Below are 17979 nucleotides of genomic sequence, written 5' to 3' on the forward strand. Positions count from 1 at the left end.
CCCCACTTGGATAACCCCATCATCTCAAGATCTTTAACAGGTTCCATGGAAGTGGGTATCTTTGTGGGTCATGATTTAGCCTACCACACACACCAAATTAACCAAATTATTTTAAAGAATCAATGCAATCCCAGCGAAAATTGGGAGCCAGCAGGTTCTTCTGTAGAAATTGACATACTGACTTTAAAAGTCATATGACAGTGCAAAGGACCTAGAATGGGCAAAACAATTCTGAAAAAGAACAAAGTTGGACAATTTATACTACATGCTTTCAAAGCTTACTATAAAGCTACAGTAATAAACACAATGTAGTACTGGCATAAGAATAGATATATAGAACGTACTAGAGAGTTGGAAAACAGACCCATACATATAGAGTCAGTTAATTTTCCACAAAGGTGCCAAAACAACTCAATGGAGAAATAATTATGTTTCAATAAATGGTGGTACAACTGGATAAATGAGGAAAGTACACCTTGACTCTTAACCTTATAACATATACAAAAATTTATGTGACATGGATCATAGACCTAAATGTCATACACAAAACTATAAAATGTCCAAAACACATATGAAAAAAAAATACTTGCAACCTACGGTTAGGCAAACATTTCTTAGATGGGATATGAAATTGGACTTCTCCAAAATGAAAAACTCTTACTCTCCAAAAGATACCTATCATTAACAAAATGACAGCCAAGCCACAAACTGGGAGACCATACTCTGAAAACACGTATCTGACAAAGTAACCTGTATCCAGTATATAAAAAGGACTTTTACAACTAAAAAAATAAGTGAACAACCCGATTTAAAATGGCCAAAAAATTCAGAGACATCCCATCAAAGAAGGCATACAAAAAGCAAATAAGCACACAAAAAATACTCAGTATTTTCAGATGTTAGGACAATGCAAACTAAAACGACAATGAGATAAGATTACACACACACTAGATCTCTTATATATGCTGGTGGGAATGCAAAATAGTACAGCCACTTTAGAAAACATTTTGGAAGTTTCTTATACAGTTAAGTGTATACTTATTCTATGGCCCAGCAATCCCACACCTAGGTATTTTACTCAAGAAAAAGGAAAACGTATGTCCACACAAAGGCCTGTATTCAAATATTCCAAGAAGCTTTATTCATAATTGCCACTGGTAACAACTCACACATCCATAAACTGGTGAATGGTTAACTGAATTTTGATATATCCGTTCAATGGAATACTAATCAGCAGTAAAAAGTAACAAACTATGGATGACAACAACAACATTGATGAATCTAAAATGCACTATAAGTAAAATAATTCAGATGGAAAACACAAGATAGTGTACAATGCTACTTATTTGACATTCTGGAAAGGGCAAAACTCTAGACACAGAAAAACAGATCAGTGCGGTTACAGATAAGGAACAGAAAGCTCAGATGTTAAATAACTTGTCTAAGAGCTCAGAGTTGGGAGTCAAACCATTTGACTCCAAAATCCTTCTAATTGAGTATTATACTATACCGGCTTTACACTGATAAATGAACATGTTTAGAAAAGCATCTGTATAAATATCTGCTGAGCAGCTAACAGGTCTCCACTCGGGAAGATTAAGGATAGTCTTTATACTCTTTTGCTTATGATATCTGAGTTTTCTGTAAGGTACGTGTACTGTTTTTGTACTATGAAAAATAACATAAGAAACTTCGATTGGAAAAAAGGGAGGAGGGTTGTAAGAAGACTGGACCTACAAAATTAAACTTGGAAGCAAGCCTCCCAGAGAGAAAACTACGCTGGGAAGATCATGAGATTCAGAGGGGTTGCTAAAAAAATATACATAGCATCATTGTGTCATGGTATTCTTACCCATAAAGTTAGGGCAATAATATGTACCTCATAAGGTGGCTACGAATATAAGATAATGAGTATAACAAGTGCTTTGTATAAAGCACTAAATCAGTGGCTCTCAAAGTTTTTAGTATCAAAAATTTTGACGTTTAACTCTTAAAAAGAACTCCTTTTCAGTTCTAACACTTACTGAGGATCCCAAAGAGCTCTGGTTGATATGGGTTATCCCTATTGGTATTTAATATTTACGATACAGTTGTTATTCAAAAAATATCTACTCTTCGAAGGTAATAATAAACACATTACATACTAACATAAATAACATTATTTAAAAACATTTCCAAAACCAACACAAATTTAGTGAGAGTAGCGACACTGTTTCTACAGTTTAGCAAAATTTTTAATGTATGATATCATAGAAGACACCTAGATTCTAATATCTATATTTACATTCATTCTGTTGCAATACATTGTTTTGGTTCAAGTATACAAAGAAAATCTGGCCTCACAGAGATCTGTAGTTAGAAAAGAACTATTTTAATAGCTCTTTCAGATAATGGTAGACGTTCTTCAACAGGACACTAAAACTCAACAAGTGGTAGTTTCTTAAAGGTTAACTATGATGTGGAATCTGAAATCGTATCAATGACCTTTTTGTACTCTGCTACACTGAAATCCACTGGTCTCTCTTATACTTTCAATGAATCTTTTATCCCAGCATTATTGTATAATGCAATGTAGGTCGACTGGAAAATATTGGTTTACTGAGTTATAAAGATCTTTCAAATGTTGACACATTTCATATACAATAGCAAAAAAAATCACATTACTTACTATCTTCACCAACTTCATCAGAAATATTTTAATTACTGGGAGGTTGTCAAGCTCATGGTAGCAGATACAACTTTTCAAAAATTCTGGTTTTCCCATGAAAGATCAAATTTTACCATTTACAAAAAATACCATGAGTTGTTTTCCTTGAAGTTTTGCTTCCTGCACTTTCTTTTTTTGTGTGTGTGATAGAAGCATCTTTTATTATAGTATTTTTGTCTTTTTTTTTCTTTTTTTTATTATTATTATACTTTAAGATTTAGGGTACATGTGCACAATGTGCAGGTTAGTTACATATGTATACATGTGCCATGCTGGTGTGCTGCACCCATTAACTCGTCACTTAGCATTAGGTATATCTCCTAATGCTATCCCTCCCCCCAACCCCCACCCCACAACAGTCCCCAGAGTGTGATGTTCCCCTTCCTGTGTCCATGTGTTCTCATTGTTCAATTCCCATCTATGAGTGAGAACATGTGGTGTTTGGTTTTTTGTCCTTGCAATAGTTTACTGAGAATGATGATTTCCAATTTCACCCATGTCCCTACAAAGGACATGAACTCATCATTTTTTATGGCTGTATAGTATTCCATGGTGTATATGTGCCACATTTTCTTGATCCAGTCTATCATTGTTGGACATTTGGGTTGGTTCCAAATCTTTGCTATTGTGAATAGTGCCAGTTAGAATGTCAATCATTAAAAAGTCAGGAAACAACAGGTGCTGGAGAGGATGTGGAGAAATAGGAACACTTTTACACTGTTGGTGGGACTGTAAACTAGTTCAACCGTTGTGGAAGTCAGTGTGGCGATTCCTCAGGGATCTAGAACTAGAAATACCATTTGACCCAGCCATCCCATTACTGGGTATATACCCAAAGGACTATAAATCATGCTGCTATAAAGACACATGCACACGTATGTTTATTGTGGCTTCCTGCATTTTCAAGAAAATGTCTGCCAAACACCATAACACAAATAACCACAGTCTTGTCTGTCAGTTGTCCTTCCAAATAAAAATGATACTCCATGAAAACAGCAGCTTGTAACTCAGGCACACACGTTTTTCCTTGAGTCAACCATTGCACTTCAGCATACAACAGGCCTTTATGCATTCTTCCCATTTCATCACATGGAATATTAAACTAGATGTGCATTCAGGGGTCAAGATTAAATGAGATTAATATTTTTCTGCTTTATCAAGGACATTCGTAAGTGAAGCTGGCATTTTTTTTTTAACTGCAAGTCCAGCACGTGGTGGTGAAGAATCCAGTGACAGAAGACTAGTGCAGCTGGTGCCACTGTCCTGATTTGTGCTCCAGCACCAGCTGTTTGATGCACTACTTTTGTACCACCAGTGCCAATGTCGACCAAGGCAAAGAATGTCTTAGTATTATAATTTTGACTTTGCAGATACCTGGAAAGGGTCTCAAGGCCCACTCCCAAGGTCTGTGGGAAACAGTCTGATAACCAGCGTACTCAATACACATTAGCTAATAATATTAATACTCGAAAACAAAAACAGGCTTTTATAAGCTGCTACAAAGAAAGAACATTTAAAGAAACCAAGATAAAAATGACTTCATCCCTTAGACTTTGGACAAGAAGAGAGCCTGTGTCAAGGTGATTCACAAGTTAATAGAAATGGAGTTATCACCACAATTACAGTACACAATTAGTAGAGGCAGAAGTTTTCTCTCTTAAAGCAGAGGGAAATATTCCAAAATCTAAAAAAATCAGAACCAATTTGTCAACTAAAGCCTGTGGCTACAAATATAATTACCAGAAACAATGGACTTGAAAACAGACTATTTAAAAAAGAAATTAGTGGATTCAAACATTAACAAATGCTAAGATAATGACGACACAGGATTCATATGTAAATTAGATAACATGTACAGGTAATTTTTATCCTAAAGGATTTTCAGACTATAAATAAAAAGTAAATTGGTGGGGGGGGGTGGTAAATGCTGTAAGCTAACTTCATTATCCTCTGTAAAACAGTTTCCTTATTTAATAAAAAAAGAGAGTAGTGGAACTAAAGAAAAGAGAAGTACCAAAATGTTTTAAATGTTGGAAAAGGGATTATTTTATGTGGTTTTTGACATAATTTAAAGGAAACTTAAAATTTTATGTCTATTACATGAAAAATAGAAAACAAGATAAACTTACAAAAGGACCCACAAAATATAATTCATGATTCAAATACTAGGGTTAGAAAAATATACATGAGCTGAATGTTCTCTTATTAATTTCCTATTGCTGCCATTCAAAACTGCCACAAACCTAGTGGTTTAAAAAGCATAAACCTAGTGGTTTAAAAGGCATAACCCTTACAATTCTGGAGGTCAGAGTCCAATATGGGTCTCGCTGGGCTAAACTTGAGGTGTCAGCAGGACTATGCTACTGAAGGCTCTAGGAGAGAATGTTTCTTTGCCTTTTCTAGCTCTAGAGGCTGCCACATTCCTTAGCTCATGGCCCCTTCCTCCATCTTCAAAGTCAACAATGGAGAATGCAGTTCTTCTCATACTGAATCACTCTGACCTCCTTTTCTGTCTCCCTCTTCTATATTTAAGGGCCCTGTAATTACATTGGGCTCAGCCAGAGAATCCAGAATAATCTATTTTAAGGTCAGCTGATGAGCAAACTTAATTCCATCTGCTACCTTAATTCCCCTTTGCCATGTAACAGAACATATTCCCTGGTTCCACGGATTAGGATGTGGACATACTTGGGGGCGTCATTATTCTGCCTACCACAGCTCTGTAAAAAGAAAGGTTGCTTCCTAGATTAAGAAAGTAAACCTGTTACATTCAAGAGTTACGCTTGGAACCAAAGTCAAAAGTCGAACCAACTATCAGAAATCAGATGACAGAGGTTTAGCACGCCTGGATGAAGACAAGAGCAACAATTTACTATCTTTAAAATTAGATAAATTAGATTTCAAAGCCGAAAGTATTAAAATGCTAAAAGGACTAATAAGGAAAACCTAAATAACAAAAACCTAACATGACCATGGAATATGGAAATAATTTTACAATTTTTCTTTTTTAAGGATACACAGAAATATTTTAATTGTGGGCTTCCTCATGCTACTCTTAAATCATGACAGATAAAACAGACAAAGTTCCTAAGGAAAATACGGAAATGAACACAAGAGTAGATTTAAAAAACAGCAAGGTTATATGAAGAGAATTAAGTAGCAGAACGAGAAAATTTAAAAAACAGCAAGCTTATATGAAGATAATTACGTAGCAGAACAAGAAAACATACTTGCTTTACATATATATAGTTTTTCCAGGGAGAAAAAAAGGATCATGGGGCAGCAATACACAATAAACACACATCTAATTTACAATTGTTAAAAATATTTGAGTGCCTGAAATGTGTGAGATACATAAAAAGGAGCAACAATGCGTTCGCTCAAGATGCTCAGACTAATAGGAACAGAGGGAGATGATGTATCAACAAGTAACTACATATGGTAAACTAGGGGACTTGGAAGATTAATTTCCCTGAGAGAGATGGGAAGAGAAGTGGAATCTGGGCAACAAGTTGGGAATAAGGAATTCCAGACAAAGGGAATAAGATGTTTTCCAATTTTTTAAAAATTATTTTTATTTATTATGGATACAAAACAGTTGTGCCTATTTATGGGGTACACGTGATACTGTGATGCAAGCATACAATGTGTAATGATCAAATCAGAGTAACTGGGATATCCATCACCTCAAGCACTGATCACTTACTTGTGTTAGGCACATTTCAATTCCACTCTTTTAGTTATTTGCAAATATACATTATTAACTATATTTGCCCTCTTGTGCTACCAAACACTAGATTTATTATTTCTATCTAACTGTATTATTGTACCCATTGCTCATCCCCTCTTTATCCTCCCCTCTCCAATTCCAGCAGACTGGAACACACAGAATACTTTCTATAAATCGTGGTGGGTAGGGTGCTGCAGAGACAGGAGAAAGGGTACTGGGGGGAATAAGCCAGAAGTTGGCTGTGGTAACATGGTAGGGGAATGTGAATATCAAGGTAAAGTCCTTGGAATTTATTAATAGGTAATATGGGGCCACTGCAGATTTTCTCAACAAGAGTGACAGAAGATACATATGAGTGTGTAAGGTAGATTGTAATCAGTAGAGACCAGAGGTAGACATTTTATACAATTCATAAAAACACTGACAAAAAATGGATCATTTTCAATACTGATTTGTTAAGCAGTTTAGTAGAGTTACTAAAATACAATTGAAACATAAAAATACCTGGGCAGCTGCCAAAACAAAACTCAAGAGAAAATGTGTTCATTTAAAATGTTTAAGTAAAAGTAGAAAACAAAGAAAAAAAAAAAGAGGCAAAAGAAAACTAGTAAACTGAGTTTCTAAGAAATTTGGGGAAAAAGCCAAAACATGAAAATAATAAAACTAAAAGTAGAAATATAGATATAAAAATGAAACTGATCAGTAATCCCAACAGCTAGCTTTTTAAAAAAATTAAACTACAAAGTTGATCAAGTAAAACAAAGTAATACAATCAGTAAGTTCAAAAGATGTAATTCATACACACTCCTAGTTGGGGAAAGAAAGAATAGTATCTTAACTATATCAATATATTTGCAAGCAAAGTCTAAAAGGTGACTGCATAGCCAAAAGGAAATATCAAGCCTGATTTGCAAAAGAATACACAATAATATGCAATAATACAGTGATAAGAAAATGTATTTACAAAAATAACTTATGGTCATAGCCTAAACTACTTTGAGTTACTTTTCAAGAAACATTCAGACCAGATTCCAAGTATAAAAATAGACTGCTTAATTCTCCACAAACCTGGGAGAAATGGGAGGTTCTGGTTTAACATTAATCACTACTTCTTAAAATTCACTTTTCCAGTTACACCTTTAGAATGGATTTATTCCACTCTCATTTGAATCTGTAGTGTTAGTATACGATGAATCACTAAGTAGTGCTACCTGGGCCAAAGCTAGTATCCTCTCTGAAATTTACATGGAGCTTTCTGCTCAGGCTCAAATTCCCTCTCTCCACTTTGCAGGGTTGGGAGAATAGGGAGGGAGAAAAGGAAGAAGGGAGGGAGAGAGAGAATATACTTAGCAAAGGAATGATGACTCTGAATGTAAAAGTTCTAGTATCTGTTTTCTGCATATCATAAGAATGCAGCTGGACTCTTTTTAGACCTATCAGTTTTTTTCCAGTGGAAGCTGCTGGCTTCACTGGAGCACATACACGCGCATTAACACATGCCTGCATGCACGTACACACGCACAAGCACATACACACACACAAACTTTGGATGGCACATCCCAGTCTAAAGCTTGACAGAATGGCTCCAAATGACAACCTGACATACTCACAAACTATCAAGGGAACTGCCCCTCTTACACCTTATTAACCAAATTTAAAGTCTTTTAGTGGAGACTTTAGCTGGTTTTATTAAGATAAAAAATGTTTAAGAGCATTTAACCAGTAGATACAAAAAAGCACAAAAGCCAAATAAAAGCAGAGCCCAGGCCAGTAGGAAGATCTGCATTTAAGTTCCTCAACTGCCATTCATCAGCGGTGTGGTCTTGGGTGAGTTATTTTCCCCCAGGTCTGTCTCCTCATCTGATTCCTCATATACTGATTCATTAAGACAAGGGTATGTGAAAGCACTGTGTAAATGATACATTTTACCCATTCTAGCTTTAGCAGTATTATGAAAGACAAAAGTTCTGCCACATTGTAGGTAATAATCTCATTTAGCAATCATTGTTGTCACTATTAGGTTGGAGCTGACAAAGTATGAGTCTCCACTTATAAAGCATCTATCTCCAGAGTTCGAGGCTTTTGTCTTAAATTCCAGTCATCTTGTACAGGCATGACATATCAGGCAAAATGATTAGAAAACTCAAGCTCCATATTAAAAAGCTTAACTTCTGGAGTCCTAGGAAACTATCTAAAACTCCTTCAATCCACGGTCTCTCCTGTACAACAAAGACTTCCCAGTGGTAGATGTCTATTTGTACCCAACATCCACTCATTCAGCACGTAATTCAGCACCTCCAAATCCTGGCCCTCAAAGAACACAGCTAAGAACAATGTGTGTGTAATTATCAAGTAATAGGAATGATACTTTTAAAACTGGAAATTATACATTCAAATGAGATTTCTCTCCTTTAACCAGTCCCCTTGGGAGGCAATGCAGTAATTCCAATGGTACTTCATTACTCAAATCATCTTTGAAGCTTTCTTCTTGGAAGCACCTTGAGAACCTGCAGTCTGATCTTCTGACTATCCCAAATGGTGCTAAATTTTCACTGAGGGTGGATTCAAATTTTGGAAATGGCAAACAGTCAGTCAGAGCCAAGGTTAGTGAATAAGATGTGTGATCAAACTAGGTGGAACTATTTTGGTTGAAAATGATAGATGATCATAAAGCAATGAGATGGATCTTCTTATGTGATATGTAAACTGACTTTAAAGGGAATTCCAGATGAGTAACAAGGAGTATGAACAATGGAATAGGTGTATACATTCTCTTTCCCCAAGTAACCTCTTTGAATAACAACACTCATTTGGATGTATAAGCGCCACTAACAGGTTTGTTTTGTTTAATCACTTACAATTTGTAAATAGAGGGTTCCTTAGCATACTGGATCTACAATGTCATGGAGGAAAGGAGTTGTCACTTAACTAGAACTATGGCATGGCACGCAGGAAAGAGCACAGGCTTCATGAGACTGACGTGGATTCGAATGTTGACTTAGATTCTTCCTGCCTATGCAACTTCAGGGAAGTCACAAGCTGTCAAGACTTTAAAATAAGGCTGATACCTAATTTTGCAGGGTTGTTGTAAAGATCATGGATAATGGATGCAAAGCCCCTACATTGGGCCTGGCATGTGGTGGGTACTCAAGAAGTCACAGCTATTATTAACAGCAACATCAGTAAAATCAAGACCATTTTCTGACTGTAGGTGGCTTGAGAGGACAGAACAACAGATAAGCAGTCACTTGAGTGGTAAGTAGTTCATTGACAGTACTGACAGTACACTCGTGCATTAGATACTGCTTTCTTAAAAACAATAACCTGTAAAAACTATTTGCAGTAACTATGTATTTTTAATTCATACGACACATATCATCTGCAGTGCTCATACCACATGGACCTCTTCACTACCTGAACATACCAGGCACTATCATGACCCCATGCCTTTGTGTACTTTGTCCCTTCTGAGATACTGAAAGGGGCCAGCCCCTCCACACCTGTGGGTATTTCTCGTCAGGTGGGACGAGACTGAGAAAAGAAATAAGACACAGAAACAAAGTATAGAGAAAGAACAGTGGGCCCAGGGGACCGGCACTCAGCATACGGAGGACCCGCACCAGCGCTAGCCTCTGAGTTACCTCAGTATTTACTGATCATTATTTTTACTATCTTAGCGAGGGGAGTGTAGCAGGGCAACAGGTGGGGAGAAGGTCAGCAGGGAAACGTGAGCAAAGGAATCTGTATCATGAATAAGTTCAAGGAAAGGTACTGTGCCTGGATGTGCACGCAGGCTAGATTTATGTTTCTCTTTACCCAAACAACTCAGTGTAGCAAAGAGTAACAGAGCAGTATTGCTGCCAGCATACTTCGCCTCCAGCCACAGGGTGGTTTTCTCCTATCTCAGAATAGAACGAATGGGAATGGTCAGCTTTACACAGAGACATTCCATTCCCAGGGATGAGCAGGAGACAGAAGCCTTCCTCTTATCTCAACTGCAAAGAGGCCCCGCTCTTTCACTACTCCTCCTCAGCACAGACACTTTACGGGTGTCGGGCTGGGGGGTGGTAAGGTCTTTCCTTTCCCACAAGGCCATATCTCAGGCTGTCTCAGTGGGGGGAAACCTTGGACAATACCCAGGCTTTCTTGGGCAGATGTCCCTGCGGCCTTCCGCAGTGCACTGTGTCCCTGGTTAATCGAGAATGGAGAATGGCGATGACTTTTACCAAGCATACTGCCTGCAAACATATTGTTAACAAGGTACATCCTGCACAGCCCTAAATCCATTAAACCTTGATTCATTACAGCACAGGTTTCTGTGAGCACAGGGTTGGGACTAAAGTTACAGGTTAACAGCATCTCAAAGCAGAAACAATTTTTCTTAGTACAGATCAAAATGGAGTTTCTTATGTCTTCCTTTTCTACATAGACACAGTAACAATCTGATCTCTCTCTCTCTTCCTCACAAGGTACCCTTCCTACTCTCTGGTCTGATGACAACCCTACAATTCTAGCTCAAAAGTCTGGCTCAAAAGACTAGCTCAATTCAAAATCTAGCTCAAAAGTCATTTCCACTATAGACTCTTCCCTGCCTGCTCGAGACAGAATTAGTAGCTCTGCCATTTGTACTTCTAAGACATTTGGTTTCTTTCACTGTAATGCCTCATACTCTATTGAATTCTTATTTCCCTTTCATTTCTGCTTCTTCCACTAGGCTTACGCATTGAGAGGAGGACTATATTCCTTTATTTTTGTACTTAGAGCACCTAGTACATCACTTGGCACGAGATAGGAATCTAGATGTTTGAGGAATCAATGTTATAATATACTTTGCAAATAACTGTTAGAGGCCAGGTAGCTGACTTTAGTGAACTATATTACCAGCAATCGCATTCCTTTTTCCTGCTTCAAACAAGAGACAAGATAACTTATATGGACTCCAGAATGTCTTCTGAAGATGGAGCATACAGAAGTCTCCAAACACTACTGATCTCATCAGTACCCCATGCCCACAAGTTGGAACCCCCAGAGCAACACTTCTCAGCCTTTGTTCCAGTCTAGCACACCTGAGGGATACACCACACTCCCATCAGGAGCTCACAACAGATGACTAAGAAGGCCCAGCAGAGTTTTCACAGCCTTCCAGTGCCACATGGCTACCAGGGTGGAAGGGCCTTCTCTGAACCAGCAACTCCCCCAAAGTAGCAGAAAATTTCAAGGCTCCATGGTGAGTGCCGGGAGCCCACCTAATGCTACCTACTACCAGATCCCTACCACCTACAATGCCTCAGAATCAGTTTGCCTACTCTAAGAACAGGGCTCTTTCACTGTTAGGAAGCCTCAGGCATTCAAGGAAGGACTTGTTTGTGGGTCCGGTACATCTGTTTCGGCATGTCTTAACCTGCATAACTAAAAAGCAATTATGAAAAGAAGTTCATGATCAACCAGTTCAGTGCCAGATGGAAATAGGTAGAGTGGGTCAGCTGGCAGCCCTGTACATCTGAGTGTTGACACTTGTGAATCATTCTCTGTCACTATAGTTTCCAGAGCCTTGCCAACGCAGCAGTGGGTTCAGACTTACCAAGATCCAAAAGGCTGGAAAGGGGATCTGGAGCCATGACCCATGCCTTGGGACCCACCAAACCATGACAGTGACTATTTCTATGACAAAGACATGCTCTTCAAAGTAAATATAGCCATATTCTGCCTTAGTGCCATGTTCTCTCCCATCTCTCCAAAGCAATGGCTGCACTCTGAAGGTGGGAAGAGTGTGAGAAGAAAGAGAACCAGGCCACAGACCACCAGGAAAGCAGTGATTGAAAGCAGCAGCTCTAGATTTATCTTATAGGCTCTGGAGAGTTATTCAGTTATTTACTCCACAAATATTTATTGAGCCAGGTACTATTCCAAGTATGCAGGCTACGATACTGACACAGTCACGGCCTTGACCCCATGGAGCTTAAAGTTTAGTGGGGGAGGCAGGTATTAATCAAATAAGCATCCAGACAGACACAAGGGTACAAATATGCACTATGATGGAGGAGTAGTAAATACTACAGGAACTGTAGAAACAGGGAGCAGTAAATCTGGTCAGGGAAGTCAGGAATGCTTCCCTTAGCAAGTGCCAAGTGAGGATAAATAGGAGTTCACTAGGTCTGGAGGAGAGGAAAAGAGAGGGAAACATTCCTGGTAAAGAGAACAGTGTGTGACAAGGTCCTGGGGTAGGAGGGAGATGTTGAATTGGTTCAAAAATAGAGGCAGGGAGCAAAGCAGTAGCATCAAGGTTTGAGTCCCCAGCATAAGGTAACTTCCTGTGTACACCCCTCAGTTTTCTTTCTCCTATAGAGAAGGCCTTCCTCAGCATGGAAGGAGACTAAAGCACACTGTCAAAAACTAGGAGTGCTCAGGAGAGGTGAAACACTACCAGCTAAAAAAACAAATCTGATTTACCAATAATACCTGGCCAATGTCCTCTTGAAATATCTGTAAAATTAAGGAACTCACTACCTCTGGCAACAATGAATCAGGAAAATGGCACAGTATAAAAGACCTTTAAACTTTTCAGGTAGAAATACATTTTAATGCAGGTAGAATTAAGAGATTGATGAATATGTTGAGAATTACTATAAATCTGCTTAGATACCAGGTATTTCACTGTAATTTCATATACTAATTTTTTTGGGGGGAAAAGGGCTAAAGGAAAAAACGGTTAAAGGTAGTATCAGTGCAGCACTATTTTGCTTTGGCAACTCCGTTAGCCTGTTTGATCACTTAAGGCAGTTTCTTGAGGCTTCTGAATTCTCTGTCACCTTGCAAACAAGTCACTGTAGCTTTCTATTTGTAAGGCACTTTGTAATCAATCCTTAATTGGCCTCCCTACCCCACTGAGAGATTATACTCATTCTACAGATAAAACAATAGATAAGTGAGTTGCCCAAGGGCACAAAACAATTCAGTTTTTACTTAACTTTCTTATCACCATCTCCAAATAGAAGACATACAGGGCTTGTCCAGCCACAGCACCAACCCTACTACCCTGCAGACCAATCTTAACCCCCTGATGCAGCAGAGGAAGGGACTGCAGTTAGTTCTGTTACCTCCTCTATGCCTTCGAAGCCAACAATGATAATGTCTGCACCGTGTTAGAGACACTGGCACTCCTAACCAGAACATGAACTCAAAGTGGAATAAGAGCACATACAAAGTCACAATGACTCACAAGTTAAAATGTCACCATCCCTAGGGAGACTGCACCCTCAACATACAAATACTCCCCTAAAACTTCCTTTCATCCTCAACAAGCAGCCAAGGCATAGGTCCCCAGAGTTGGCCCCCGCAGTACAGCACTGCACAGTACTGTAAGGCATCTTAAGTGTACAAGCCCTTCTTCACCCCATGCTGAGACCGCCAGCATCTAAAGCACCTAACATAGGTTACAGCACACAAATATTTACTGAGCACGTCTTCCCAACTGGCAAATAAGGGAAACGGATACTCCTTTCGGAGAGTAGTGCATTTAAGAGATCAGTTAGGCCAACTCCTCATTTTACAGAAGGGCCAAAGAAGGGCAGAGAATCACCCAGTTACATATGGCCTCGTCTCCAATCCAAGTCTTTGGGCTCAGTTTAGTTCCACAAACATTTTATATGTGCCTACTATGTGCCAGATACGGTGGGTGGGAGGCGCTGGGGACACTGAGATGAGCAGGAGATGGTCTCAGCTTCAGGGAGCTCACAGCCTGGGGTAAAGAACAGTTACAAAACAGTCGGGCAAGTGCAAGGACAGGCGCTTGAGTGCTTAGCCAGTGTTTTCTCCACACTGTCCACTGGGTGTTCCCCATCTGGAAAAGAAGGACAGCAATATCTACTTCCTGCAAATAAACTTGTAGTGAAGACTGATGAGAAAATGAGTATGGAAAATGATCAGGCTCACCCAGAAATGCATTATATAAGGTATTGCCATACCCCGACACTGACTCCAAGGATTCAACAGTGTTTCAGGTATCCGTTCAACAAAGAAGCAAACAAGAGAGGGATGGGCATAAACCCAAGGAAAACCCCAAGGACTGCGAGGAACTGGAGGAAACAGCTGGGGTGGGGGTAGGGGTGTTGGGTCGAGTGAGACGGCCCTGACGCGGAGAATGGAGGGCCCGCAGCGGCGCAGAAGAGGATGGAACCGAGACGAAGAAGTTGGGACACCAATGAGGGACAGCAAGCAGAAAAGAATGGGGTTCCCTTGGGGCAGGACGGGGCTCGCGGCCGGGCCCTTCCGGCCGTGGCCGGGCAGGGGCTGAAAGCACCGGGCACGGGAGGAGGAAGCGGGCGGGCGCCGAGGCCGACTGTTTTGCCTGGGGACCGCTTGCACCCGCAGGGAGGCTCGGGCAGGCGCCCGGGTCCTCGGGCTGCAGCATCTCGCCCGCCGTGCCTCCCCGGAGCCGAACACCAGCCCGCGCCCGAGCCCGCAGCGCGGACTCCCGGGGGCGCCAACGACGCCGCCTCACCTCGGGTTGAAGTCCTGGAAGAGGCCCCTCAGGTTCATGGCGGAGAACTTCACCGCGGCGTCCTCCTCCTCCTCCCCCGCACCCCGTGCTGCACAGCCTGCGCCTTACAGCGGGTTCATGGCGCCAGCGCCAGCCGCGTCCACGCTGCTGCTCCCGCTACTGCTGCCGTCCCCGCTGCCGTCGCCGTCGCCGTCGCCGCCGCCGCCGCCGCCGCCGCCGCCGCCGCCGCCGCCGCCGCCCGGAGAAACCTGAGCCACCGCCCCCTGCCCCTCCTTCCGGGCTTCCGTACGAGGGCCGCGCATGCGTCCGGAGCCCCGCCCAGAGCGCTCCTCGCTGGGAGGTCCCCATCCTTGTGTCCGCACGCGACCGGCGGAGGAGATGGCAGGGGGATGGAGGCTGGGAGTGAGCAGGGCCCCGAGGAAGGGGATGCTGACGGGCTGAAGGCCTGCAGGGAGGGAGCGCGCCGCCCGGGAGTCTGGCGGGCAGATCTTGGCAGACACCTGTCACCTTGGCCCGCGCTACCTTCTGGAGATTTTCCCCAGTGACGACTGAGCCCTGGGAGTAGTGACAATGAGTGAGACGTTGCATTTTTGGCGATGTCATCCCAGGCTTCACCTGTCACATCTGTCAACGACTCCAAAGTTTGGGTCCCAACTTCCCTTCCAATTCCCAAGCCAGCGTGTCCAGATATGCTGGCTATTCCCTACTCAAGTTACCTAGCACCAAAGTCACTTCCCGTGCCAACCGCCTTCCCCTCCTGGGTTCCCTTTTTCCCTTAGCAGCAGGCCTATTCGTACGCAGGGGGGTATTCAAGCAGGAGACGTGGAAATCATCCTCATTTTTCTAACCCAGTTCAGAGCCTCCTTGGATCCTGTCTAAACTTTGTGGTCACTTCACACCTGACCTCTGCCTCCACTCCAGGCTGCCCTACTTACAAGTACCAGGTTCATCTTCCTTGGGCAAGTCAACATCTTTGAGTCTCAGTTTTTCTCCTCCGCAGAATGGAAATGATAAAAACCTCTTTTCTAAGCGTGTTAGGAAGATTCAGTGAGATCGTGTGCATAACACACTGCCTGGTACATGCTAGGTGTACAAAGAATGCTGTTGCTATCTGGTACTCTTTCAGGTGTCAACCTCCTCAAGGATTTTGTTTGCTTTTGGAATCCAAGAGCAGGACAAGCTCATAGCAGGTGACCTAGTTTACCATCTTCACTTTGGGCAGATTTAAGTTTTCATGAGCACAACAATGCCTTAAACATTAGTCTACTATCATTATGGATAATAGTCATCCTTTGTTGCAATAGCAGAGTTTCACAAATGACAATTTTATACTGTTTAGCCCCAAGGGCAGCTTGAGAGAATCACAATTGCGATAGTCATACTTAGTCTTGATGTATCACCTTTCTTCTGAGAACGTAAAAACATATCATAAGTGGTAATTAAGCTTCCCAACACCCACTGGGAAATGGATATTATTATATGAGCTGATTTTAAGGTTGAGTAATCCAAATCAAGTTTTCATCTGCTGAAGCACCAGGACCCTGTCCCAGACTTTTTCACCCATCTTCCTTTCCCATCCTCTGGGTAAAGTCCAATGTGTAGCCCAGAGGAGGTTCTCAATGAACACTCAAATACAGACGAGGAATTAAGGCGCAGAGAAGCTTGTATAACAGGCCCTGAGCGAGCCAGCAAGTAAGGGTGAAGGAGCACAGATGAAACTCAGGGTCTAGCTGAACCTGCAGCCCATACTGTTAGAAAGAGGTGCTTGCCAGTGGTCAGATTGGACAGCACCATCTTCATTACCAGTGACCGTGCCCCAAGCAGGCATGAGAAGATGGTCTGCCAGTTCAGACACTTGAATAACAGGCATCACTGCCCTTTCAAGAGCTTCATAGATAGAGACCAGGCAGGCTCCTCAGAGTCCAGAATCTTGAGGGCAGACGCTACTTTAATGAGATCCCAGGGAGTCTGGGAGCTGAACCACTGCTCTGCAGGCCCACAAGTTCAATTTTAGCAGTTCTTCCAGAGTTGACCAGGCCCTGGAAGCTATCTAGCAAAGGCAACAGGACACTGATGCACAAATTACTTGTCAGTGTGTTCTTTTGCTCTGACAAGGTAAATTGCCAAGAGGAACATATGAACCTGTCTGTGAGGAAATACAGGAAGAACTGGACTTTCCCAAGGCTTCACATCCCCAGTCTTCAAGAGGTGGATTACCTGGACTGATTCTGGAAGCCCAACCCTTTATGCTACTGGTGCTCTCATGGGGAAAAAAAAGCCAGAAACCAGATGGCCATCTGGTCCTCTCTCCAGCAAGTGCAAAAGACCCTACTGACAACCTGCTGCTCACTTCAGAGCCCTCACTCAGTGTCCCACCCTAGATGGAGGTCCAAAGCCTCAATGACCTGTGTAGACAGACCCACAAGTGATCCTGACATTAAAGAAAGACCCTGGGTCATATGCAGGCACCAGGAGTGCTGGGAAGCTTAATTACCACTTATTAAATGTTTCTACATTCTCAGAAGAAAGGTGATACATCAAGGCTAAGTATGACTAGTGGAGAAGATGACACCCACATCTTCTCCACTAGCAGAGTTTGACTTTATCTTTTCCTTGACTTGCCAAAAAATTCCAGGGCTATCTTGCTAGGGGCTCCCAACATTCTTCACTCAAAGGAAAGAAATGGCTCTGGATTGAAAAAGTATGACCCCCAAATAAGCCAGACAGCATATTCTTGGTGACTTTGGGGTGGGCTTAGGTTACAGTGTTCCAGAAGAATCAGTGTATATCTGACCATGGTTTTAAGGACTAACTTGGATTTGTACCACCCTTCTGATAAGCTGGTGGCTTGTCCAATTCAATATTCACATTGGCTTCAATGTGGTGATATAGGATGCCTCTCCTCTGAAGAGCAAGGCACTGGTGAAGAGAATCCTGGTGAATTTAGACACTTGGACTGGGGAGACCTGGCATAGGGGAAGAAAATGGCCGTGGAACCGCCCTCCACACACCACCAAGGCTCCTTCCCTGGCTGCAGCAGTA

The 17979-nt window shown here is 41.7% G+C and overlaps 1 protein-coding gene across 4 annotated transcripts in view, besides 5 other annotated features; it reads right to left on the minus strand.

The window, feature by feature from the left end:
- TMEM185A (transmembrane protein 185A) overlaps positions 1–15187 on the minus strand; it is a 35237-nt gene extending 20050 nt beyond the window's left edge. For all 4 annotated transcript variants that reach the window (NR_104121.2, NM_001174092.3, NM_032508.4 and 1 more), the window contains exon 1: positions 14938–15187. Coding sequence is in view for 3 of the 4 variants with exons in the window: in NM_001174092.3 (NP_001167563.1) it covers positions 14938–14975 (38 nt within the window). In the remaining variant the exon portion in view is untranslated. The remainder of the gene's footprint in view (positions 1–14937) is intronic.
- Positions 14680–14729: a silencer, noted in NCBI's record as "silent region_21044". NCBI's record gives its function as "represses an Ori minimal core promoter by ATAC-STARR-seq in GM12878 lymphoblastoid cells {active_cell/tissue: GM12878}" and the evidence as "EXISTENCE:reporter gene assay evidence [ECO:0000049][PMID:35858748]".
- Positions 14740–15149: a silencer, noted in NCBI's record as "silent region_21045". NCBI's record gives its function as "represses an Ori minimal core promoter by ATAC-STARR-seq in GM12878 lymphoblastoid cells {active_cell/tissue: GM12878}" and the evidence as "EXISTENCE:reporter gene assay evidence [ECO:0000049][PMID:35858748]".
- Positions 15109–15176: a tandem repeat, named in NCBI's record as "FRAXF repeat instability region".
- Positions 15114–15176: a nucleotide motif, noted in NCBI's record as "nucleotide motif; (GCCGTC)n(GCC)n motif found on the plus strand relative to the reference genome". NCBI's record gives the evidence for it as "COORDINATES:manual assertion [ECO:0000218][PMID:7881407]".
- Positions 15132–15176: a repeat instability region, noted in NCBI's record as "repeat instability region; expansion of the (CGG)n trinucleotide repeat (CCG relative to the plus strand of the reference genome) is associated with fragility at this site". NCBI's record gives the evidence for it as "EXISTENCE:Southern hybridization evidence [ECO:0000078][PMID:7881407]".

This window comes from Homo sapiens, chromosome X (assembly GCF_000001405.40).
Source record: "Homo sapiens chromosome X, GRCh38.p14 Primary Assembly".
NCBI classification, from domain to species: Eukaryota; Metazoa; Chordata; class Mammalia; order Primates; family Hominidae; genus Homo; species Homo sapiens.